At 40.6% G+C, this 26,153-nt stretch overlaps 1 protein-coding gene and 1 pseudogene across 13 annotated transcripts in view, besides 3 other annotated features; one reads left to right on the forward strand and one right to left on the reverse strand.

The window, feature by feature from the left end:
• Positions 959 to 22,178, reverse strand: ZNF195 (zinc finger protein 195). Of its 12 annotated transcripts, NR_046381.2 has the most exons (7): positions 22,070 to 22,178; positions 16,609 to 16,688; positions 14,609 to 14,735; positions 14,007 to 14,102; positions 5,578 to 5,634; positions 4,775 to 4,921; positions 959 to 3,597 (listed from the first exon to the last, which is right to left on the reverse strand). NR_046381.2 is itself a non-coding variant. In NM_001130520.3 (6 exons), the coding sequence occupies exons 1-6, from the start codon at positions 22,070 to 22,072 to the stop codon at positions 2,150 to 2,152; spliced, it is 1,890 nt and encodes a 629-aa protein (NP_001123992.1). In that variant the 5' UTR covers positions 22,073 to 22,178; the 3' UTR covers positions 959 to 2,149. The 12 variants fall into 12 exon arrangements, 9 of the variants coding, with proteins under 9 accessions (NP_001123992.1, NP_001229771.1, NP_001243753.1 ...); NR_040083.2 differs by lacking the exons at positions 4,775 to 4,921; positions 5,578 to 5,634 and adding an exon at positions 20,649 to 20,932; NM_001130520.3 differs by lacking the exons at positions 5,578 to 5,634; positions 16,609 to 16,688 and adding an exon at positions 3,752 to 3,820.
• Positions 21,879 to 22,442: an enhancer, noted in NCBI's record as "NANOG-H3K27ac-H3K4me1 hESC enhancer chr11:3400077-3400640 (GRCh37/hg19 assembly coordinates)". NCBI's record gives its function as "activates a minimal SCP1, AML or CMV promoter by ChIP-STARR-seq in naive H9 embryonic stem cells {active_cell/tissue: H9 hESC(naive)}" and the evidence as "EXISTENCE:reporter gene assay evidence [ECO:0000049][PMID:30033119]".
• Positions 21,884 to 21,953: a silencer, noted in NCBI's record as "silent region_3076". NCBI's record gives its function as "represses an Ori minimal core promoter by ATAC-STARR-seq in GM12878 lymphoblastoid cells {active_cell/tissue: GM12878}" and the evidence as "EXISTENCE:reporter gene assay evidence [ECO:0000049][PMID:35858748]".
• Positions 22,131 to 22,425: an enhancer, noted in NCBI's record as "tiled region #5988; HepG2 Activating DNase unmatched - State 1:Tss, and K562 Activating DNase unmatched - State 1:Tss". NCBI's record gives its function as "activates a minimal TATA promoter and a strong SV40 promoter by Sharpr-MPRA in HepG2 and K562 cells {active_cell/tissue: HepG2 | K562}" and the evidence as "EXISTENCE:reporter gene assay evidence [ECO:0000049][PMID:27701403]".
• Positions 23,993 to 26,153, forward strand: part of TSSC2 (tumor suppressing subtransferable candidate 2 (pseudogene)) — a 28,188-nt pseudogene continuing 26,027 nt past the window's right edge. Inside the window, exon 1 of the transcript NR_024248.1 lies at positions 23,993 to 24,076. The product of NR_024248.1 is annotated as a tumor suppressing subtransferable candidate 2 (pseudogene) (transcript). The remainder of the gene's footprint in view (positions 24,077 to 26,153) is intronic.

The raw sequence follows: 26,153 nt of genomic DNA on the forward strand, positions 1-26,153 counted from the left end.
AAGAGAACGAAGGCAGGAGCGGGATTGTATGGTGGAGGATTGTGATGATTTGGGGGAGGATTACGGTGCTGTTGGGGAAAAGTTGGCAGGATCAAAGAAGGAAGAATCATTGGGAGGAGCGGTGACGGGGGTGGGGGTCTGAGGATGGGTCAGGTTTGGAGCAGGCGAGGATTTGGAAAGTAGAGCAGGACTGACAGAGGGAGGGATGGCTATGGAGGGCAAACGAAAGCCTGAACATAAGGAATCTCTGACCACTTTCCATTGCGATGGCAGAAGTTGTCTAGGTACCTGAGAATGTTGAAATTTAAAGTGCCGTTTTCAGGCCATTGGGAGCCATTGTTTAGTTTATATTGTGGCCAGGCGGTGTTACAATAAAAGATGAGGTTTTTTTTTGGCTGAATTTCGGAATGGAGGCTAAGGGCATTAAGGTTATGATGGAGGAGGCACCCGAAGCGGGGATGTCTTTGAGGGAGGGGATTGGAAGGCTCCCATAGTGGAATGAGAAAGGGAGGGGTAGAGATGGGAGACTTGGCCGGAGACTAGAATGGTGGGAGAACGCGTCCCTTGTCCCACAGTTCAAGTCGGAGAAGTGCGATAATCCCCAGTTCAGGCATCCTTGATAGGAGATATCGAGGGCCTCCTGGAGGCCAGGAGGAGGAAACCCTTGGCCCAGTGCTGGGTCTTTTAGGAAGGAAAGAGCAGACAAGGGTTCCAGACACAAGGCGAAAGTCTCCTTTACTCAACCCTGAGGAGGCCCTGGTGTTGGATGTGTTCGCCAGCAATGGAAAGTATGTATGAGATCCTTGGGTCTCTAGCAGGTTCTGGAAGGGGGAGTTCAGCCAGGGGAAGGAGGGAGAGAAAGAGAAAGGGAGAAAGGGAGGCCGAACTCTATCACCTTTCCGGGTTTCGGCACCAGAAATGTAAGGTCAGCCAAGAGAAAGGATGAAGAGACCCAAAGTCAGGCAAGCAAGCTTTATTGAGCTGCTTGGCTGCTCCACCACAGTTAGAGGAGGCAGCCCTGCTTACAGACTATAGCAGGTTTTTATAGGGCCAGAACTAGGTCGGGGTGCGGGAGCTGAGTTGGGGGTGCAGGAGAACTGGGTTGGGGTGGGGGAGCTTAGTCGAGGGTGCAGGTGTCTTGTCTGCATCCTGGAGATGTTTTTTGCCAGCTTTGTTATGCGAGGTGAACAGACATGTTAACCGCATCCTGTAACTGTCTGCACAGTTACTGGAGGGATCAGTGAAGGGGGGTTTGTTTTTTGCCCTGGGGTAGCTGTGCAGAGAGCACAAGGGACCGTATTGTAAGTCCTGTGGGAGGGGAAGGGAACGGTCTGATCAGGGTGACCCTAACAGAAGAGTATTATTCTAAACACCTATCTCATAAATCACTTACAAGTATATAAAACAACCACAAAGAGCCTCTCTACCAAGATTTTACTCACGCATCTTACATTTCAGTGTCTTTCACCTTTCACGGACAAGTATATCAGTGATGCACACCTAAGAGAAAAGAATTTCTCATATCTCTGACGCAGCAACAACTGACCATGTGTTTTCACATCAGCACTAGAAATGAAGACACAGCATCTACTGATTTGAGAATAGAATGACATCAATATTCGCTTTTCAAAAATTTAACATTTTTTCAATGCAAAAAAGTATATTTTGAATGTAATTATAACTCTACAAAAACTCAGTCTCATCCTCCTTTTAAACTTAAATATAAATGATCTATTTTAAGTCTAGATGTCTCTGTAGACTCAACACAGGGATTCAGTGTCATTTCTGAACGTGTCCTTGCTTATTTTTCCCATTTAGTGTATTTGCAAAATATCTTTTAGTATGAACTCTAGTGTTTTCTAAGCTATCATTTTTGAACAAATGTTATTCCACATTTATGAGATTTGTTGGGTTTCTCTACAAATTTTCTGAAAGTTTAAGCAACTGATGCAAGTCTTCCATCTAGTATAATTGTAACATTTTTTTCAGAAGAAATACTCTTGTGTGCTCTGGAGACTTATATTTCATGAAAGGTCTTTCAATAGTAATTACATTTATGATAACTTTATTAAGTCTGAACTCTGATGTAAAGTGGGATGCGAGCAGATACTAACGGCTTTGCCTATTTTTATATTTGTTTATTTTTTTCTCAAGTATGAATGCTTTCATGTACAGTCAGGTGTGAGAACTGGGTGAAGGCTTTGCCACACTTTTCACACTTGTAGGGTTTCTCTCCAGTATGAATTCTCTTATGTACAATAAGGTTTGAGGACTGGGTAAAGTTTTTTCCACATTCGTCACATTTGTAGGGTTTCTCTCCAGTATGGGTTTTCTTATGTTTGGTAATGTCTGAGAACCACATGAAGACTCTGCCACATTCTTCACACTTGTAGGGTTTCTCTCCAGTATGAATTCTCTTATGTACAATAAGGTTGGAGGACTGGGTAAAGTTTTTTCCACATTCGTCACATTTGTAGGGCTTCTCTCCAGTATGGGTTTTCTTATGCTTAGTGAGGTCTGATAACTGCTTAAAGATGTTGCCACATTCTTCACACGTGTAGGGTTTTTCTTCAGAATGAGTTCTCTTATGGTTAGAAAGGCTTGAGCAAGTTCTGAAGACCTTCCCACATTCTTCACATTGGTAGGGTTTCTCTCCGGTGTGAATCCTCCTGTGTTCACTGAGGTGTGAGGACTGTGTATAGGCTTTCCCACATTCGTCACATTTGTATGGTTTCTCACCAGTGTGAATTCTCTTATGTTTAGTAAGGTCTGAGAACCACTTGAAGATGCTGTCACATTCCTCACATTTGAAAGGTTTCCCTCCAATCTCATTTCTCTGGTGTTTGGAAGGATTTGGGCTGTGGTTAAAACCTTTGTACCATGTTTCACATTTGGAGAGCTTCTCTCCAGCAAGAATCATCTGTTGATTAGAAAGGCTTGAGCAAGAGATAAAGACACTGCTGCACTCTTCATATTTGCAGGGTTTTTCCTCAGTACCATGCTCATGTTCAGTAAGGTGGGAGCACTGGTTAAATACTTTGCCAAATTCTTCACATCTGTAATGTTCCCCTCCGGCATAAATTCTATTTTTAGTAAGGACTGAGCAAGTTTTAATGACGTTGTTACATTCTTGACACTTGTAAGGTTTCTCTCCAGTGTCAATGTTCTCAGGTTCAGTAAAGTGTGAGCACTGGATAAAGGTTTTGCCACATTCTCCACATTTTTGGAATTTTTTTCCAGTGTGAATTTTCTGATGTTCAGTTAGGAATGAGAGCATTTGAAAGGATTTGCCACATTCTTGACATTTGAAAGGTTTCTCTCCAGTATTACTTATATTACGTCTATGTAAATTTGAAAAGTTATCAAAGATTTTAACATATTTATTATATTGAAAGATTTTGCTATGGGTAGTTGATGAACATTGGTTAAGTCCATTATAATCTTTTTGCAACTTACACTCATCTAAACTTTCCCAGTCTTTCCTTAAATATAAATTATCAAGGCCACAATTTCCATATCCTCTCAGTATTCTTTTTGGGAATGCATCTTGTATGCCCTGCTCTGGCAGAAGGTCTTGGGTAAAATGAGAAGACATAGCTGAAAAAAAAAAAAAAAGTTATCCGACTTACTAGACACAGATGAATACACTTTATGAATCTAATCTATAAAATAATACTGGGTACATTAGCAAAATGGCATAAAAAATACCACAGGCCCTAATTTCTGTATAAACATATAAATGTAACAATACCTAGTGAGAAGATGCATCTGAACTCTAAAAACCATTTCACAGTTTGCAGCACCCCAGGTGAGCACAGTGCTAGGAGCCAGATAAGAAGAAAAACAGTCTGTTACGTTTACCCACTGCAGCCCCCGCTCCTCCGCAGTATAGCATCATGCCTTTAAGAGTACACCCTCAGCTCTTGGCTTCTCCTTCAAAAGAGAAAGCAAATACTGGCACAAGTGTTTTTACTTTTGGCCTTTTGAAGCTTTGGCAAAGATTGGTTTCTGCCCCCTGTGACACGGAGTGCTGAGAGAAATGGTGGTACTCTGAGTGACAGGCTGGGTCTGCTGAGACCGAAAGGAAATACCCATGACAGCGGTAGGAAGGCTGCAGCAGCAGCACCAGGCGACAAGTGTATTGTGTGATTCCAGGGCACTACAAAGAAAGCTGAGAAACCCTCTTTAAATGAAAAATACACACACAATTCCACACAAGACACATCCCAGAACAGGCTTAAGAGGCCTCTAGAATCTGGGCCTATTTGTTTTAGATGACCCCAGGAGAAAGGCACATTATAAAGGTTGTGGCAGGAGGCTTGTTGTTAATGCCTGAATCTCAGTCAAAGATGACATGTACAAAGTATTAGGGTCACATGGCATAATCAAAGAAATAAAAAAAGTTCAGAAATCAACCCTAAAATGATGGAGATGCATAAATTAACTGAAGAAAATAAAATTACCATTTGAATAATGCTCAATGAGTAAAAATGGCAAAACAGCAAACTAAGTAAAATTAGGAAAATAAGGATACCAATAAAAAGACATGAAGTATGAAAAACAGACTGAGAAACTGAGGTATGAAAGGAAATAATTACTGAGAAATTCTCAAAAGTAAGAAAAAAATACAAAAAAATCAAGAAGCTCAACACATCAACTAGTATAAACAAAAAGGGACATAAGACACATTATAACCACAGTTTCCAAAGTCAAAGGAGAAAAGAATCCTGAAAGCAGCAAGTGAAAAGCAAGGTACATGCTCTTAGGAGATTACCAGTGAATTTGTCCACAGAAACATTGAGGCCTGGCTGGGCACGGTGGTTCACACCTGTAATCCCAGCACTTTGGGAGGCTGAGGCAGGCAGATCGCTTGAGCCCAGGAGTTCAAGACAAGCCTGAGTAGCATGGTGAAATCCCATCTCTACAGAAAATACAAAAAAATTAGCTGTGTATGCTGTTGCACACTTGTAGTCCCAACTACTCAGAAGGCTGGAGTGGGAGAATCACCTGAACCTGGGAAGTGGAGGCCGCAGTGAGCCACGATCACACCACTGCACTTCCAGCCTGAGTGACAGAATAAATCCCTGTCTCAAAAAAAGTACAACCTGAAGCAAGAAGGGAATTGGATGAGATAGTCTAATTGCTGAACACAAAACTTCCAAGCAAGAATAATATAACCAGTGTCCTACAAAATCATAAAAAATAAAGGCTTTCTAACATAACCAAGGGCTACATTACCACTACACATGTCAAACAAGAAATGGTAAAAGGAGTCCTTTCCACTGAAAATAATGCGATGCTATAAAATAATATATAATCATATCAAAATAAATATATGGAAAAGATACGCATATACAGAAAAATAAAATTCTGTGGTACTATAATGATGGTGCAGAAATCACTTTTAATTATTATCTAAAATTTGAAAGATGAAAGTAGAAAAATAATCATAAATAACTGTTAATGGATATACAACATTAAATGATTTAGGGATATCAGTAACAAAGTTGAGGGCAGATTTAATAAGAAAGAATTTTTGTATACAACTAAAGTTAAGTATTTACCAGTGTAAAATACCTTGTTGTAACTTTAAGATGTTTTATATAATTTCCATGGTAACCACAAAGAAAATACCTATAAGACACACAAAAGAAAATTTAAAAAGAGTCAAAGCTTATTATACAAAGTACAAGACACAAAAAGGAAAGAGAGAAAGAAAAAGCTACAAGAATCAAGTAAAAAAAATACAATGGCTAAAGTACATCTTTTCATTTCAGTAAATTGCTTATTTAGGAACTAAACTACTCAATCAAAAGGCATATGCTAAATAATTTAAAACCAAACTAAGATCAAACTACAGCTGACCTACAAGAGATTCACTTGAGATCTAATGACAAAAAGAGACTGAAAGTGGCAAGATGGAAATAGACATTTCATGCAAATGTTAATGAAATGAGAGCAGAAGAGGTTACAATTGTATTATGCAAAATACATCTTAAGTCAAAAAATGTCATACTTCCTAAAACATACTTTAAGTCAGAGCTCACAAAAAACAAGAACATAAAACAGTAACAGAAGGGAGAATGAACTGGGAACCTATGACAAGCGTGGGTGCATATTCGTATATATATTTAGGTATTGAAGTAACTTCCTATTATACTGCTATTTTTTGCTTCAATTTTGCAAGTTCTTTATAAACAATTACAGCATCAAAGCAAGAAACAGACAGCAATATAATATTGGCATACTTCTACAACCCACTTTCAGTAATAAATGATAAAGCAAGACTTAATAATTGTAGAGAGGACTTGAAAGCACTACAAAACAATTCCACCTCACAGATATAGAGAGAACACTCCACACAACACAGCAGGAGACACACTCTTCCCAAGAGCTCAGAAAACATTCTCTAGGATAGGCCACCTGTTAAACAAATAAATAAGTCTTAACAAATTTCAAAAAATTGAAGTCTTCTGCATTACTATATATGACCAAAATGAAATGAACCTGGAAATAACAAAGAAAAACAAAAAAAATCACAAATATATGGAAATTAAACAACACATTTGAGCATGCTCTTGTTCAAAGGTTGAAATACTTAATATTGCAAAGATGTTCACGCTGTCCAATGCAATCTACAAACTCCAGGCAATCTCTTTCAGATTTTGAATCCTCTTTTTGCAGAAATAAAAGCAACAACCTAAAAATCCTAAGACATCTCAAGGGGCTGTAAAGCACCCAACAATTTTCAAACAGAGGAACAATGTTGGAGGTATCACACTGTCTGATTTCAAAACACATTACAAGGCGACCGTAATTAAAACAGTTTGGTACTGGTATAAAGGCAGACAAATAGACCAATAAAACAGAATGTAGCACAGATTTAAAAATAAAACACAGAAAAAACTGTAAAACAAATATAATAGCTAAAGTATGGGATTTATTGAACACTATGATCTAAACTAACATATTCATGAAAGAAGTCTTACAAAAAATACATAGCAGAAAAGCAGTAGAGGTATTATTTGAAGAAAAAAAGGTTGTTAACTTTCCAAATTTCAGTATGATAAAAATGTTACTAACCAAGAACACTTGATCTAGAATAATTTCACTTCAAAAGAACAGGGGGAAAATAAAGACTTTCCAAAATAAATAAAAAGATGAGGGTGTTCACCACCACTAGTACAGTTCTACAAGAAATGCTAAAGGTTGGGTAGGCATGGTGGCTGATGCCCATAATGCCAGCTTTGGGTGGGCCAAGGCAGGAGGGTTGCTTGAGGTCAGGAGTTAGGAATTAGCATGGTCAACAGAGCAAGACCCAATCTCTACAAAATACAGAAAAAATACTCAAAAGACTTCATCGTATTAAAAAAGACAATGATGCTAGACAGCATTATAAAACCATATGAAAATATAAAACTCTGTTAAAGGTATATAAGCAGATATATAATACTTTACTATCATAATGATGGTGTAAAAAATTCAAAATTCTGCTATAATATCTGAAAAAATATCTGCATAAATCTTTGCTACCAGACACAAAATATATAATAATTTGTTACATTAACAGCACACTGGAGGGTGTTACAGTTTTTGTATTCAATGAAGTTGTGAGATTAAAATCTGTATTTATAATTTTAAGGTGTTTTATGTACTCTCCATTTTTCAAGGTGATCCAAAAGAAAATACCTATACAAGGTCTGCAAAACACAATGAGAAAAGAATGAAAGCTTGTCCACACAAAATCAACAAAACAAACGATGAAGACAGTCAAAGAGGAAATGAGGGATAACATATCTACAAGAAACACAGAAAACAGTAACAATCAAGATGGTGATAGTAACTTCATTTCCTTCAGAAATTATTTTAAATATAAATTAACCTACTTATTGAACAGAAATAAAATAGCTGAATGGATTAAGAACAATATGCTAGCTACAAAAGACTCTAGCCTTAAATAGTAAAATAGGCTGAAAGTGAAAATAAAAAAAAATTCCATGCAATTAGTAACCACAATCAGGTGGGGTGGTTATCCTTATATTAGACACAATACACTGTAAGTCAGAACTGTCACAGGAGATAAAGATTAATAGCATGTAATGGCAAAATGCGTACATTAACCAGGAACCTGTAACTGTTTATCTGTCTATATTTATATCTAACATCAGGGCTCCCAGATATATAAAGCAAATATGGAGAGAAGTGAAGCAAGATGTACACAGCAATACAATAATTATCAACTCTAAGACCCCATTTGCAATACAGAATAGAAAATTACACAGAAGATCAATAAGAAAGCTTGGGCAACATTACAGACCAAATCAATTTAACAGACATGCATAGAACTCTCCAGTCCAAAGAAGCAGAATATACAATATTCTCAAATACACATAGTGCATTGTGTTACAACAAATAACAACTCTTAAAGATGAAAGTCTCATGACATGTTTTCTAACCAAAATGTAATAAAACTAGAAATCAAAAGCAAAAGTAAAACTGGCAATGCCAAAAATGTATGGAAATTAAAACCCTTGAACATACACATTCTTGCTCAATGGTCAGATAATTTAGTTTTTTAAAGATGTCAATACTGCCCACACTAATGTACACATTCAATGTAATCTCTATCAAATTCCCAAAGCTACTTTTTGATTTTTTAATGCTAAAATTAGTTTAAGAACAATAACTAGTCAAAATTCTTTAAAAAGAACAAAGAGGCATTACACTTTCTGATTTTAAAACATATAAAGAGCTACGAAAATAAAAACAATGTGGTACTGACACAAAGACAGATAACTAAATGATGAAACAAAGCAGAGAGCCCAGAAATAAACCCTTGTGGATAAAATCAAGTAATTTTCCACAAGGTATCCATGACCACACAATGGAGAAAAGAATCCTTTCAACAAATGTTAAAAACCAGATATCTACATGGAAAAATGAAGTGGTATCTTTTCCTTGCACCATATACAAAAATATTTTAAATGAAAAACATAAAAATAGAATAGGCTGGGTGTGGTGGCTCACGCCTATAATCCCAGCACTTTGGGAGGCCGAGGCGGGTGGATCACGAGGTCAGGAGATCGAGACCATCCTGGCCAACACGGTGAAACCCCATCTCTACTAAAAAAAAAAAATACAAAAAATGAGCCGGGCGTGGTGGCGGGCGCCTGTAGTCCCAGCTACTCAGGAGGCTGAGGCAGGAGAATGGCGTGAACCCAGGAGGCAGAGCTTGCAGTGAGCAGAGATCGCACCACTGCACTCCAGCCTGGGCGACAGAGCAAGACTCCATCTCAAAAAAAAAAAAAAAAAAAGAATAAAACTCTTAGAAGAAAATATAGGACAGCAAATGCATAAGCAACAAAAGAACAGAAAAACTGAACTACATCAAACTTCAAACTTTCTGCAAATCAAAGAAAACAATGAGTGAAGTGAAAATACCACCTAAGAAATGGGTAAAAATCACACATTTGATAGGAGTGTATCCTTATATTCAGAGTATATAAGGAACTTTTACAACTAAACAACAAAAATTAAATAATTTGATTTAAAAATAGATGAAGGACTAACTGAAATCTCTCCAAAAAAGATATGGAAACGCCCAACAAGCCTTGAATGAATGCTCAAATTACTTATCTATAGAGAAATGCAAAACAAAATCACAATTAAGATATTTCCTCACACCTATTAGAATGGCCACAGTAAAAAAAAAAAATCCAGACCTGTCAAGGATGTGAAGACATTGAAAACCACGTAACCTGCTGGTAGGAAAGAAAGGATGCAGCCACGATGAAAGATAGCATAGGCCGGGCACACTGGTTCACACCAGCTCACACCTGGAACCCCAGCACTTCGGGAGACCGAGGCGGGTGGATCACTTGAGCCCAGGAGTCCGAGACCAGCCTGGGCAACATGGCAAAACCCTGTCTCTATTAAAAACACAAAAGTTAGCTGGGTGTGGCGGTGTGCCCCTGTAGTTCCAGGTCCTCAGGAGGCTGAAGTGGGAAGAAGGCTCGAGCCCAGGAAGCAGAGGTTGCAGTGAGCTGAGATGGCACCACTGCACTACAGCCTGGGTGATAGAGTGAAACTCTGTGTAAAAAAAAAAAAAAAAGCATAATTTTCTTAAAAAAATTAAAAATGGAATTATATGATCCAGCAATCCCATTTCTAGATCTATATCAAAAGTATACAAAGCAACTCAGGACTTAGAAGAGATATTTGCACACCCATGTTTACTGTACCACTATTCAGAAAAGTCAAATGGGGGAAGCCTCAAGTGATGAACACACAGAAAAAATGTGGTATATACATACAAGGAATATTATTCAACCATAAAAACAGTAATATGGAATTACAAAACACTAAGAGATGTTAGTCATAAAATCTGCTATGAAACATTGATGTACCATTAAAAAAGAATTTGCCTAGATAACTACAGTATTCAACTGTGACTGTGTAGTCATGAAAACTAGGTATTTTGAGTCACTGGCATGCAGTGGACAGCAGTAACATTTCACAGAAAATGCACTACAATCATTATGAAAAGACTCTACTGAGAACATTTTAATGACTAAGAGATACTAAAGGTAATTTTTATTATATGTTTACTATACCGATGCTATTCTTATGCAAATTTAAAATGCTGCCATCCAACTTTTAGAAGCAAGGAATAGCCTTATATTTCTAAATAAAGAGAAAAATATAAATTATGTAAAATATGGTGAGAGTCACTGATATATAAAATAAACATCTGGGAATAAATCATATTATTATTTATATACAGGTTGAAGAAATAGGATAATTTAATCAATGTGGAGTGCTTGCCGGGTGCAGTGGTTCACGCCTGTAATCCTGACACTTTGGGAGGCCAAGGCAGGCAGATCACCTGAGGTCGGGAGTTCGAGGCCAGCCTGACCAACATGGACAAACCCCATCTCTACTAAAAATACAAAAAATTAGCCAGGCGTGGTGGTGCATGCCTGTGTGTAAATCCCAGCTACTCAGGAGGCTGAGGCAGAAGAATTGCTTGAACCTGGGAGGTGGAGGTTGCAGTGCCGAGATCGCGCCATTGCACTCCAGCCTGGGTAACAAGAGCAAAACTCTATCTCAAAACAAACAAACAAACAAACAAATAGTGCTTACTAAATAATTCAGACATAACACATTAATTCTAGCATATTGTTCTGCATATTAGAATTTGAAATTAGAGATAAATTTGAAATGGAACAAAAGAGAAAGTGAAAATGTACAGGACAGTGACATAGAAAAATGGTGACATAGGTGGACCCTGGGTTATATATTCCCCGACAGCAACAAAAATGTGTCAGTCTTCTTGTACAGAAATGCCTTTCCAAGAGAATCAGGCACCACGGCTCATGCCTATAATCCCAACTATTCAGGACCTCGGGGTGAGAGGCTCACTTCAGGCCAGAAGTTCAGAACCAGCCTGGGTGACACAGAGAGATCTCATCTCACAAAAATGCCTTTAATAGAGCTTAGTAATCCAGGGAGGGGGTTGTAAAATTCTGCTAAAGACCAAGACTATAGATTCAATAAACTTCTTATCAAATTCCAGTGGCCTTTTTCACAGTAATGAAAATAGAATTCTAAAATTTATATGGAATTACAATAGACTTGGCATAGCCAAAGCAATCTATAGGAAAAAGAACAAGGCAAGAGGCATAATATTTTCTGTTTTCAAGTGACATTTTAGGACTACAGTAGTAAGAACAGGATGGTATGCGAACAGAGAGGAAAACTGCCGCAGAGACCAATGGGACAGAACAGAGAGCCCAGAATTAAACTCATGCATATCCACTTAACTAATCTTTCACAAGTTCACGAAGAAGATACAATACAGACAGTATAGTCTCTTCAACACTTGGTCCTGGAGAAACAGAATACCCGCAATCAAAATAATGAAATAGCCCATTTTTCTTACACCATACTCAAAAATTAACTTGAAATCAAGCCTAAAATGTAAAACATGTATCCTTAAAAACTCTGAGAGAAAACCTCTGATATTGGTCTTGGCAATCATTTTTTAGACACGACACCAAAAGTACAGCAACAAAAGTAAATATAAACAAAATGGAGTACATTAAGCTAAAAAGCTTGTGACACCAAAGACAATTTACAATCAAACTTTTGGATACTAGGATGGCTAATATCAAAAATAAGTAACATATTAGGGCTGTGCAAAAGTAATTGTGGTTTTTGCCTTCTAAATAGTAAGAAATACTCTTACTTTTGCGCCAATCTACTAACAATGTTGATAAGGATGTAAAGAAAAAACAATTCTGAACGCTCAGAGTTCTCAACTGGTAGAGTCATTATGAAAACCAGGGTGGGGGGGCGTTATTTAAAAGTTAGAAAAAGATAAACCTACCCTGCAACGCAGCAATCACACTTCTGTGTATATAATAACTGAAGGGAATAAAAGCAGCATCTTGAAGAATTATCTGCTCCCTCATGTTCACTGCAGCATTATTCACAATTGTCAAGATATAAAGACAAGCTAAACGTTTGCGGATGCTGAATGGATAAAGAAAATGTGATATAAATAGACAATAGAATATTACTCAGCCATAAAAAAGGAATGAAATCCTGTCATTCAACCACGTGGATGACCCTGAAGGACATCCTGCTAAATAAACTCAGCCAGGCCCCAAAGACAGAGACTGCACGTTCCCCCTCAGACGTGGAATCTGTCGTGGCTGAACTCACAGGAGCAGAGGACAATGGCAGTTGCCAGGGCCTGGAGTTGGGGAAAATGAGCTGTTGTTCAAAAGGTACAAACTTTCAGTTGTAAGATGAGTAAGTTTGGGGAATCTAATGAGTAGCTTCACGAATACTATTAATAATCTTTTGTATGCTTAAAGTTTGCCAACGGTAGACATTAACTGTTCTCACTACAAGAAAAGGTAATTACGTGAAGTGATAGATTTGTTCCTTGAAGTGATTGCACTAATTATTTCACAACGTATACACATATCAAATTATTACATTGTACACAATATATACACAATTTTTATTTCTAAAATAATCTGTTACACATATGCCCACATAGACACACTGTATATATGTGTGTGTATATATACATGAATGGATAAAGAAAATATGATTTAAATAGACAACAGAATATTACTCCAGCATAAAAAAGAATGAAATCCTATCATTTCAAAAGGATATGTTGATATATTATATATACACACATATATGATATATACACACACATATATACACACATATATACACACATATATACATATGCACACATACATACATATGAATGACAGAGTCCTGATAAGCCTCATACTAAAAAAGAAGAAATTATAAAATGATAATATTATAACTATTACAGTTGGGAGTTAGGGAATATAAAGTTTAAATGACCAACCTCAGCTCATACTAAAAAAAATAAAATAAAATGTTGAAGTAAAATAACATTAGATTATCTCATATTTGGGCAGATGCCTAGTGTTCGGAGAAAACTGCTGAGTATACATTTCTGTAGACTCCCATTTGAAACCTCTGTAGGATACGAAATCATAAAGCAGAAAGCATACAACATCTGTTTACGGGACTTCTGGGATTTCTGAACCAATCACCATCACCACGCCTCTCGCACACTTCAGACATGATGCAAAGGAAATCAAAAAACATTTAACAGAGTTCCTCAAAAACAGGCAGGTACAGGCATGTTCCCAAAAGCAGTGGCGGAGCACGCCATGAGACCACACAGGCCCTTACTCGTCAGGAGGAGGACTCTGATTTTTACTGTAACCTTTATAAAGGAAGATCACTAAACAGGAAGCAGAGTCTATACAAAATTTGAGAGAATGAGACAGAAGACGCTCCTAGGGTACAGCAAGAGAAAGACACCCAGGCTCTCAGAAACCATCTCCACTAGGGCAGAGCTTCTCAAACCACATTTTAAGGTCTGGCTTCCTCCTCGACCTCTGGACCTCTCACCTGGGTTACCTGCTTCGTTCATTCCCACCCACCTGGATGTCCGTCTGCTGCCTCCTGTCTCTTCACATTCCAGGGCTCTTTTCGTTGCTCCAGGCAGGTGATCAGGCCTGGCTTACAGACAGTGAGACCTGTTTTATTAGAAAAAAGTGACATTACTCTTGCTGAAATTCTCCAATTATCAACCTTGTACTGTGCTTAGTAGAGTGAACATTATATAAGATTCTAGAAAATTAATCCCAAAATTATGCTTCCTGACATCACCTTTAGAATATTCAGTAAGTATTTTAAATCTGTGGGTTCTTAGTTTCACCACTCAGTACTGCTGACATAAAAAATTGGTGGTGGAAATTTGACTTTAAGTTGTGGGCAACAATATTTCATGCCACTGAATTTCTGGAATTGTCACTAGAGTGAAAGATACAGATCAGCTGAAAAAAAAGGAAGGTTTATGTCAAGATGAACCACATTTTGAAGATTTTTTTTTTTTTTACATCAACTATTCCCCATGTTTTTCTTAAAAGCAGGGATCTGAAACTCATTCATGCAACGCAGAAACTCCCAAAAAACATTCCGCAGAGGAACGAAAGGAACTCTTTAGGGCATAGGAGGAACTACGTATTGAAGTTATCCTCACCAACGGAGAACAAGTTTCTGTAGTTCTCCAACATCACATCCCTGTACAAATTCTGCTGAGCGAGGTCCAGGCATTTCCACTCCTCCAGGGAGAATTCTATGGCCACATCCCTGAACGTCAACAGAGTCTGAAGAAGAAACAACAACAATAACAAATACTTGATTCGAGGTGAAATGAGCGAGTGAAGAGAACTGGTTCTGACTTACACAAGTGACTGAAATTATACAATAAGGTAATTCTTAGCAGAAGAATACTCTCTAACTCTGAGGAAAGAGAATTGCCTGAGAGCCACATAAGCAGTGTATATACAATACTTTTCTGGTTGATAACAAGTATAACATTAAGGGCATCAACAAAGGCATGTCCATTTTTGAGTGCTACATTTACGTCACATGAATAAGCTGTGTATATTTCGCAGGCAGAAAAGTCATGGTGAGTTAGAAGCTGCCTCTCCAATTTTCATGTGTCCAATAAACTAGTGTGCAGATTTTGCTTCAGGAAATCGGAGGTCAAGGCTGAGTTTCCGAATTTCTAACGCGCTCACCAGTGATGCCAGTCCTTTGGGCCCAAGGACAATATTTTGTCAAAAATCCTGTAAGTGGCAAGCTTGGGTTTATCCCAGTTTTTCTAAACCATAAAGAGAGATGAGATTCTTCATCTTCTAAAGCAAGGCATATGCAAAAAGAATCTAAGAAGCAAAACCTTTCAGATTAAATGTGATTATTTATGCACATTAATTAGTAAATCTCCTCAAGGTACTTAAAAGAGAAAAAAATAAACTCCACAATGGAAAATCTGTCAGGGAGCTCTTTAAACAACTGAATAAAACTAATATCAACTGTAATAGGACAGATTTTTATCACGTGCCAATGCACAGAGAAGGACATATTACTGGTGTGATATTGGCCAAAAGGTCAATTATAATCTGAATCAAATCATACCGAAACCTTAGTGTTATGCAAAGTTCAAGAGACAAATAAATATCTCCCAGGTTCTGACAAATATCTCCCAGGTTCTGACAAATATTTCCCAGGTCCTGACAAATATCTCCCAGGTTCTGACAAATAAATATCTCCCAGGTTCTGACAAATAAATATCTCCTATGTTCTGACAAATATCTCCCAGGTTCTGACAAATATCTCCCAGGTTCTGTAATCTGTTTTCTTTTGTCTTGAGACTGAGTCTCACTCTGTAGCCCAGGCTGGAGTGCAGTGGCGCGATCTCGGCTCACTGCTACCTCTGCCTCCCTGGTTCAGGCAATTCTCGTCCCTCAGCCTCCGGAGTAGATGGAACTACCCACATGTGCCACCACGCTTGGATAATTTTTGTATTTTTTTAGTAGAGATGGGGTTTCACCATGTTGGTCAGGCTGGTCTCGAACTCCTGGCCCCAAGCGATCTGCCCACCTAGGCCTCCCAAAGTGTTGGGATTATAGGCATGAGCCACCATGCCCAGCAGTAATCTCTAATAGTGTATTAAAAGAGTCTTTCTTTAGCATTCTAAAAAGCAAGTGTCTTTTCATTTTTCTCTTTTCCAGAATGCTTTGAGTTATTCTGAGAGATAAATGTCATCTGGTTTAAATGTTTATTTTCTTAGTCCTGTTCTGCATGCAGCTTATGGAGCATCCAGATGAAACCTAAAGAGTGCACATTTCCCTTCTTTGCTGATATCCAAAAACCCACCCCATCCTCAAGAGGAATCCTGGGTATCCACAAGTTCAGTGCCACGAAGTGAACTTTTTAATACTGCAGGTCATAAAGTCATGGTAAGAATTCTTCATGGCATATAAGAAGTCAAGGTGAAGATAACAGAGAGACGGCTTTGGTATATAGAAAACAAATATTTTCAGAGACCCTTCATTATTATAAGAAAAAAAAGTAGTTGAAACAAACTTACTATGGAGAAACACCACAAGTAGAGAAGTAAAGGTTTCCAAATTCTAAACACATGACATTTCAGGAGCAAAAGTGGACACAACCCCTGACCTGAGATGCATTTACCTGAGCACCAGCCATTTCTTTCTCTTTCTCCTGCTTCTCTGGGATTTCCTCTTAGGAAAGATTCTCTGGACAAATCACACCTGCATCGTGAGAATATGCCTTTAAAGGTGTTAGCACAACCCCTTCACCTGCTACCACCACAACCATCAACAGAAAGACCAAGAAATACAGAAAAAGTCCACGCTTTTCTGTTCTTTATAAAAGAGATTCAGGAACAGTAAACTTCTACATGGAGATCAAAATGTGACTTTCTCTCTTCCTGCTCTCAGGTTCCCTCTCCTGCTAAACAACAGCAATTCTGCTTCAGCAATTGGAGTATAAGCTGCACTGAGCTGGCCTCTGAAACCTAGGCAAAGAAGGCCCTGTGACCTCCCTTTGGAACCAAGGCTGAGCTCAACTCGTACAAATGCATCTGAAACCCCCCATCACTGATTCTGGCCACACCTTAGAATCCCATGATGCATGTGACTTAAACAGCACTGGTGCTTCCACCCAAACCAATAGGCAGAATCTGTGAGGGCAAAGGTGAGGGCCTTTTTTTGAGTTGTCCATGTGATTTAATTAGAAGCCAGGCTGAGAACCATTTAGCTAAGCCTTGCTTCTCAAGCTTCAATGTGCATATGAATCTTTTGGTAATTTTGGCCCCACTCTAAGTCATGTGATTCTGAAGATTTCAAAGGGGTTCATGGGTTGGATTTTTTAACAGTTCTGCCATTAATGGTGATGCTGCTCCCCCAAGACTTGTGATCATTAACACTCAGCTAAAGAAAGCAGCCCCAGCACAGTCCCTTACACCCAACCCTCTGACCACAACATAAGTTCTTCTGGTGCAAATGGAGACAGCCAATCTCTATTCTGAAAGATTACATTATTTCCTGGCTCTTTAAAGTTTTCCAGGGCTGGAGAAGGAAGCAATGTCTGAGTCTGTCTGCATTTGGAAAACAATGTGTACACACGTATGAATGCAGTGTTTATTAAGCAGGCACGGGGTGCTCGGATGTATGTGACAGCACTGTGCTGGGCACCTCACGTCATGTGAGTTAATCCTCACCACACCCTGGGTGATGGAACCAAGTGTCCTGCAACTCTCAAGATATAGATGAAGGGACCAGGCTTTGTGGTTCCTCTTCTATTTTCCTATCATTAACGTTTTAAAAGTGTAGTGATAAAAGCTCCAGATAGACCAATGGAAGGGATACAGAGGGGATGAAGTGTAGTGCAAAGGCACTTTCCATTGTTGTGTTTATCTTCACTTTCTTGTGGCTTGTGAAGCAACTATTAGACCCACAGGACTGAGAAAGAGCTTGCTGGATACGATGTCTCTAACAGCGCTGGTGTTAGTAAAAAAGAAAAATTAAGGCTCCAAAATAGAGAGTCCTTTGATCCCATTTATCTGCTTTGGGGTTTCCGAAAATTCTGTGTATCAGTTCCGGAGAGGCAGCAGGAGTCAAACTCTGATTTAACTCTGTAGTTAAACTCCAAACTGATTTAACTCTGTAGCTAAACCCAAAACTCTGATTTAATTCTGTAGTTAACTCTGTCGGAGGAGAGTCCAGGGTGAAGCCAGACCTGGATGAGACTCAGAGAAGGAGAGTCTGGGCATGTCTGGGCAGGGAGAGGGCCCTACGCAGGATTCTGCTCTCTATGCTACTAGAGTATTTACAATTCTGTTTTTCCTAAAACTGCCCCCCACCCCAAAATTTAAATCCCAGGGTTTGTATAATTTTAATCTATTTTGGCCACTTCCTTGTCTATTTTATAACATAAAATAACAAGCAATTTAACCGAAACCTTTAGGATTTTCTAGGACAGATATGGTAGAAGCTAAATATTTATTTTTAGCCGGGCAAAAGCAACAGAAATAATACCACCACCACCTTGTCTGTCTGAATATCCCTTCAATATGACATCAGAACTCACAACAACCACATCAGGAAAATGGCCCAAATGAAGCAGAAGTCCCTTTGACCACTCCCTTCTTCATGCTGACCCCAAGACGCTGAATTCAATGATTTATCCAGTTACTGGAAATGGAAAAGTTTCTGGCTTGCGGGGACCATGGCTGCCTTCTCTGTTTTCCTAATGGCTACACAGGATGGAATCAATTAGTTTATCAGTTTGAATCTCCAGATCTCATTTTTGTTTTTTACTGAAGTACCAGAAAAACTGGAGTAATTCCCATGTGGATACCAATGAGGTTTCTTCTCTGAGGGGAGGAACAAACCCTGGGTGACTCATTTCTCTTATTCTACAACAGAAGCACAGATAGACCGTTTTGTCAGCCTGAGCCCCGTCTGCACAGTGCACTCCTGAATGTCCAAAAGACTCCAGGTGCTGGTGAGAGAGTTCCTGGTGACCCTGCACAGATGCCCTCTATGGCCATGAGATCCATGATAGTTGCTACCTTCTCCCTGTTGCAATCCTCCTTTAGAGTTCAATAACTTCCTATCTAAAGCTAAATTTATTTTATTTGACGAAGTCTAGAAACAGCCCCAGGATAATAACGATTCCATACCCAGGAAGTCCTCCCCAGCTTCCTTCCATCCCAACTCTAACTGCATCTGCCTGTGGGTCCCCAGTGCTCCCGGGCTCTGCAGCTTCTCTCTGTAGAAAGGCTCCTTCCATGGTTGCTGTGAGCAGTCTGGCGCACCCGCAGGGGAGGCTCCTTGGGAAGCACTAGCTAGGCCAGGGGTGTCCGATCTTGGCTTCCCTGGGCCACACATAAAATACACTAACACTAACGATAGCTGATAACTGAAAAAAAAAAAAAATCACAAAAAAGTCTCATAATGTTTTAATAAAGTTTACGAATTTGTGTTGGACCACATTCAAAGCCCAGGCCAGCATGTGGCCCAGGCCTGTGGGTTGGACAAGCTTGAGCCAGGCCTTCGATTGCTTTCTTTTGCAGACTCAGTATTAGCCTTAGCTTGGAATGACTGTTCTTGGGCTTCAACTTCCCAATCAGGGTTATCCACTTAGGTTTAAATAAGAAAATACCCAGTGTTGGAAACATCCAACAAAATCACTGAAACAGTTTACAGAAGAAAAGGAAACTGTAAGCACTTACACTTTCACCTCCACAGAAAAAGCAAAATTATTTATTGCTTTCAGACAATGAACTTGTCATTTAACTATTTCCATAACAAATCATATAGTAAACAATCACATGTGAACACTTTTAGAAGTGCTAAGTTCCATCTCCTACAACTTAGCATTAAGCTCAGACATCTAGAGAACAGGATATAAAACAGAGATACTCATGACAACAAATTCATCCTGCAAAAAGAGCTCATGTTCTGATGAATCTATGCAATTTACCAAGTAATCTACCATAATTTTTTTGTAGAAAATGTAAACATTCTCCACAGCCATCCAAGAAGCATTTTATGTTCCCTGGTAGCATTCCCAAAGCTAAGCCCTGGGATTCTGTTGGAAATCATCTTCCACAAAAGAACAGACCTAAGTAACTTTCTACCCTTAATCACTCTGGAGAAGAAAAAGGTATGTATGACTAGATATTTAACTTTTTTCCTGAAATTGACCTATTTCATGTCCTTTGTAAGTATTTTCTTACCTTTCAAGCTCTACTGATAAAATGTAAATTTACAATTAAAAATCCAACATTGCAGTAAGTGAATAAATTATTTCAAGGAGACACAGAGAGTGGCAGTGCCGACTGGAACACAGACACAGCTAATGACTTGTGTCAAGTCAGGCTATTCTATTCCTTGGGAGATTCTCCCACCTCCATCCTGTTCACCGAAGTGCTCACCGGCCACCCCCGATGATACACTGCACTGTGCCCCGCTGAGTGTCCCAGGTGAATTTTGCTTTACAGGTTTTGCACCATCTCACGGGGTGGAGTTTTTCTTGCTCTTTGAAACATTCTGTCTCCCTTCACAAATCTGAGAGTCCAAAGGGCAGAAATGATTTCGGTCTTTTCCCTCTGACAGGGGCATGTGATTGGCTGATCAGCCATGTGTCTCCAGGGATTGAAAGTTGGGTTGGGTGAAGACAATCTTAATGTCCTAAGTGGTTACCTCTTTAGAGGAAGAGTAGACCAGGAGATTTCTCTCAGCCCAGGGCATCCAGCTGCTCCCTGGAGAGGCCACACTTCATACCTCAGGCTGTCCTCTGAGAAATAACCCAGGGCCTGAAATTCACTAGATGCTCCAGCAGACATGGCCATGGTGGGCATCCTGTGTTATCCCTGGACAATACTGAAACTGAGGAAAAAGTCCAGAGGGTGGCTGAGAGCAAATCACCCTGTCAAGTTTCCAAAGTGGAACCTCAAACCAAAGACATTCTGGTAAGGTGTCTGTGCCTAGGGAAAATAAAAAGGAGGAGAGGCACAAAGACTTTTTACAATAGCGTCAGGGGATGATTCTCTGCTTTCCTGTCACGTGGAATGATTACAAACAGAAAACAAATCTCTTAAAAAGTGCCGTCCAGGCTGGGCGCAGTGGCTCACGACTGTAATCCCAGCACTTTGGGAGGCCAAGGCAGGCGGATCACATGAGGTCAGGAGTTCAAGACCAGCCTGGCCAACATGGTGAAACCCCGTCTCTACTAAAAATACAAAAATTAGCCGGGCGTGGTGGTGCAGGACTGTAATCTCAGCTACTCGGGAGGCTGAGGCAGGAGAATTGATTGAACCCGGGAGGCAGAGGTTGCAGTGAGCCGAGATCGCGCCACTGCACTCCAGCCTGGGGGACAGAGCGAGACTCCATCTCAAAAATAATAATAATTAAATAGCAGGCAATCCGACTGAGGTGGCTCTAGTGCCCTGGGTTCTTAGGTTAAAAAAAAAAATCTAACTCAGATGCGTTTCTTGCAAATGACTATCTTGCAGAAACAAAATTCAGGCTTCGTCAACCACAAACCTCTAATTAACTTCTGATTACAGGACCAGAAAATTTCAGCCTAGATAGCTGAAATCAGGAGATGACGTAACTGTACCGAACTAATGAATGAATGTGGTTTGCTTCCTCATGCACCTGATAAAAGCCTTTCCTTCAAGGCCGGCTGGTGGGACCTCCAAACCCAAAAAACATGGTTGGGTCCTCTGCCATTCATGAATCGCTCTTTGCTCAAATAAAACTCTTTCACATTTTTGCAAGGACTCCCTCGAGAGAAAGGAGGGACTGGGGCCCCCACGGGCTACAGATCATCCTCTTATGCACAAACCACCCACGGAGTCGGGATTCTCCCTTCCTGACTCGGGGAGACGAGGGTCTGCGGGCGAAGAGCTGCCGGGGGGACATGGCTCTGGGCTTGGGCCAAAGCCGCTCTGCAGGGATGCGCCGGGGCGCGCGGGGCCCGGCCGCCATGGTGCAGCTGGAGGGGCCTCGGGTCCGCGGAGCCCGGAACCCACCCGGGCAGCCCGGTTCCTCCCGAGCCGGTACCGCGGGTTCCAGTCCGCCCCTCCCTGTCTCTCAGGAGGCCTGGCCCCTACACTCACCATCTCCTGGCCTCCAGAGAGCCTGGCGTTTCACTTCTGGATCTCCCGGTGCCTGCGGGTCACACGACCTACGGCTAGCAGGGGACACAGAGCCGCGGGGACAGGAAGTGGAGCTCTGTCGGGACAAAGGCCCCGCTAGATCCCGGAAGCCGTCCTCTCCTCTCCAGACATGTGCCTGATTGGACAGTCCCCGCCCCTACTCCTCTGATTGGATAGGGCATCACGCCCCGCCCCCTCAGGCCCTGAGTGACAGGAGCTGTAATCAGACAATGGGCCGAATGAGACAGCAAGGACAGGTGCTGGCCGCGATCTTTTGGAGCGGGGCTTCCTGCCTGCGCTGTCCGGCCCCACCTAGAGGATATTTACATTTCATCTTGTGACTGCGGTTATGTTTATTTATAAATAATAAATATATGTTATTCACCAATGGAAAGAAGAAAATAAAGACAATCATTTTGAATTTTTATATTTTATGGCCTTCCTGGCTTTTGGTCCTTTGAACAGACAGCCTGAAATTTCAAAAAGGATTCAAGCCTCTAAGAATTAAAATGTAAGCCATGTGTGAATCTTAAATTTTCTAGTAGCCACGTTTTAAAATGTACTAAGAAACAGGTGAAGTTGATTGTAATAATTTAACCCAGTATGTAACCATTTTCCTCTATGGTCAATATACAATTGGTAAGGAAGTATATATTTTGGGGTACTAAATCTTTGAAGCTCACTCTGTATTTTACCTTTTCAGCACATTTCAGTTCAGACCAGCTGTATTCCTGTTATTCAATAGCCACACATGATCAATAGCTGCCACACTAAAGTGCAGCTCTGAGGTCTAACCTCCCTTATGTCAGGAAGTGGAGGGTCTGAAAGTCCCTTTTCAGCCAGAGGTGAGGGAACAGCCTCTTGCTACAAACATCTCTCCTCCGGTCGAAGGGTGGACGAGATGGTGATCCTAGAGAGCATAGGGGAAAGCAAAAGAAAATATCCACGGGTAGAGGACTGCTGCCCATCAATAATGGGGCCCTAAGAGGAGAGAACACATCTTCAGATCTGTCCATAGCCTTGACCTCCAACATTTAGATATGGAGGAAATAGACTAGAGGCAGACTTATCTTGCTATTTGGCCTTAGCCCTAATGATCAAGCTGTGATTGTCTGTTTCTTCCCGTGGTTGGGGGGCTGTGTGAGTAAAAGCACCAATCACATATATACATGTGTACATGCATTTCTGTATGACGGAACATTATCTTACAAAAGATCCAACTTTAAATAAGGGGGGAGAATTAGTACCTATAAAGTGCTTTCTTCTTGCAGGTAACTAGGAATCAACCTTTCATTGAATCCTGGCACCCTATCTGCCCTGGGTGCATGTATTAGTTAGCTATTGCATAACAAATCACCGAAAACTTAATAGCTCATGATTGAGTTCATCAGCCATTCACGCTGAACTCAACTGAGCTATTCTTGTCACAACTGGACTGCTTCATGTATGTATGGCCAGCTGCTGGTTGACTAGGTGGCTCTGCTTCTGGGGATGAGATGGCTATCAACAGTGGCACCTTCCTTCTCCCCACCATGGTATGTCATCCTCCAGCTGGCTAATCTCATAAAGATAGCAAGGTTCTGATAGCTTGATCTCATAAAGATAGCAAGGTTCTGAGAAACACAGAAGCATTTAAGACCTTTTGAGCCTAGGCCCAAAACTAGCACAAAAGCTGTCATATTCGCAGTTGATACGGTCTGGCTGTGTCCCCAGCCAAATCTCAACTTGAATTGTATCTCCCAGAATTCCCGTGTGTTGTGGGAGGGACCGGGGAAGGGGGTAATTGAGTCATGTGGGCGGGTCTTTCTCATGCTATTCTCATGTTAGTGAATAAGTCTCACGAGATCTGATGGGTTTATCAGGGGTTTCCACTTTTGCTTTCTCCTCATTTTTCTCTTGCCGCCACCACGAAAGAAGTGCCTTTTGCCTCCCGTCATGATTCTGAGGCCTCCCCAGCCATGTGGAACTGTAAGTCCAATTAAACCTCTTTTTGTTCGCATGTTCAGGAATGTCTTTATCAGCAGTGTGAAAACAAACTAATACAACAGTTTTCTATAGCCAGAGAAAATAGTGCCAGCCAGATGCAAAGTTTGGGAAACACATTCGGCCTCTTGATGGGAGGAGCTGTAAGAGCACACAATAAAGAGCATAGATACAGAGAGTAATGAAGCATTGCTGCTGTTTCTGCAATCAGTATTATTCTACCCTTTCTTGCAGAAGAGGTTTATATTACTGCTCCAAGTCAAGAACCTTGCCCAAAGTCCCACAGCTGCTAAGCAGCTGGGCTGGTACTCAGGATCAGCTCTGCCTGGCTCTGCAGCCCTTACTCCTGCATAGACTGCACTGCTCATACAGCTTTCCAAGGCCTGCAAGTTTCTGGAGAGTAACTCTTCTGCAATAGAGGCAGAATTCCTTTTAGATTTGGACCCATATGGTGCTGTTTACCATTGGGAATAATCAATCACCTCGAGAAATTGCAGAAGCTTCTTGGAAGGACATGGAATAATTTGAGGGAAATGGCTGATAGATGACTTTAGGAAATCAGAGCCCAACAACAGAGGAGCAATTTTAAAACAGAATGTATCCTATATGTCTGTAAATGCTTTCATTCCTTTTTGGTATTTGTAGGCTGTTCATAATTTTCAACACTGACTATAAGTACTGTGACTGAAACAACCTCTTACTCTGAAATCAAGTGACTTAAAGATACATCTGCTGAGAAGACTTTTTTTCTGCAGCAATTTATCCGAACAGCTAAGTACATCTTGGAGGTGTCCGTTGATTTTTAATAAGGAAGAGCTATTTTTCAAGCTCCTATGTGGCAAATCCCATCAGTATGCATGGAAACCAGCTACAGTGAATGCATTCTTTACCCTGAATCAATTGTTCTCACCCCTGCTACATGTAAAATCACCTGGGGGGATGGCATTTAGAATTTCCCAAACCCAAGCTGCCACCGACCAGTAAAATGAGAATCACTGGAGTGGGGCCTGGGCAACATTGTGGCTTAAAGGTCTCCGGGGGATTAGAGTGTGGGCCAGACCCCAAACCACTGCTTTTTTTTTTTTTTTTTTTACTTTTACGTTCAGGGACACAGGTGCAGATTTGTTATATTGGTAAACTCACATCATGGGGGTTTGTTGTACAGATTATTTCATACCCAGGTATTTGTTTTCTGCTATATCCCCAAGACCATGAATCATATCTGGCACATAATAAGCATTTCCTAATATTTGTTCAAAAAGGATTTGGCAGTCTTGGGGGGCAGAAGGGGGGGTGGGGAAAATTTTTAAATAACACAATTTTTTTAAAAGGCACAATGTTCTACAACGTCAAATTCTCTTGTATATTCAGGAAAGTTGAGGGTTTTTTCTAAAACATGCTGACATAATGGGAAATAAGATGCAAAATTTGCATGAATGTTTAAGACAAAGTCTGAGGTTTCCAAGAGATGTTGTGCTGGGGAGGCTGTGTGCTACAAGCTCGCAAAGCTCTGGGAGGACAAAGCATTCATCCTCCCTAGCAGAGGCCGTGAGGTGAGAAGCTCGGTGGAGCCCCCAAGCTTTGGACTTTTAATATAGAGTGTTCAGGTCCTTATAGTTAGGGCTCATGGCACAAGCAGGTCACAGGTCTCTGGCTCCTCTGACCTTTACCCTCCTTCCCAAGGGAAAATGTGACTCTCCAAAGCAAGAAACTTGAGGGCGTGGTTCACCCCAGCCCTGGCATCTGCCCAGAGCCTGAGAAGGAAGGAACAATGATCCTCCAGCTACCTCACAGGGCTGGCACAGGGGGTCACTGCCTTGTGGATTGCCCAGCTGTGTCGGGCAACCTGGACCCTATCTGTGGGGATGTAAAGAGGAAAATACAAAAGTCTCCATGAGGGCACTGGGAAGATAGAGGCAGGAGAAACCTCCAGGCCTTCACTACCCAGCCTTGGACCCATGGTGGAAAGATAACATAGTTGGTGATCTTGTGTGCTTACACTCCAGGTGGCACTGTGGCCTCGTTGTGGCTCTGAAAATGAAGATTTGGAAGGAGTTCATCA

This window comes from Homo sapiens, chromosome 11 (assembly GCF_000001405.40).
Source record: "Homo sapiens chromosome 11, GRCh38.p14 Primary Assembly".
Taxonomy (NCBI): domain Eukaryota; kingdom Metazoa; phylum Chordata; class Mammalia; order Primates; family Hominidae; genus Homo; species Homo sapiens.

Bases quoted from the DNA above. Each gene is read 5' to 3' on its own strand.
- ZNF195 (NM_001130520.3), bottom strand. The intron at 3,821-4,774 runs GTAATCTCCTAA...TCTGGCTCCTAG, and splicing joins TTCTGTGGACAAATTCACTG to CACTGTGCTCACCTGGGGTG. The intron at 3,598-3,751 runs GTATTGTTACAT...TTTTTTTTTCAG, and splicing joins CAGATGCATCTTCTCACTAG to CTATGTCTTCTCATTTTACC.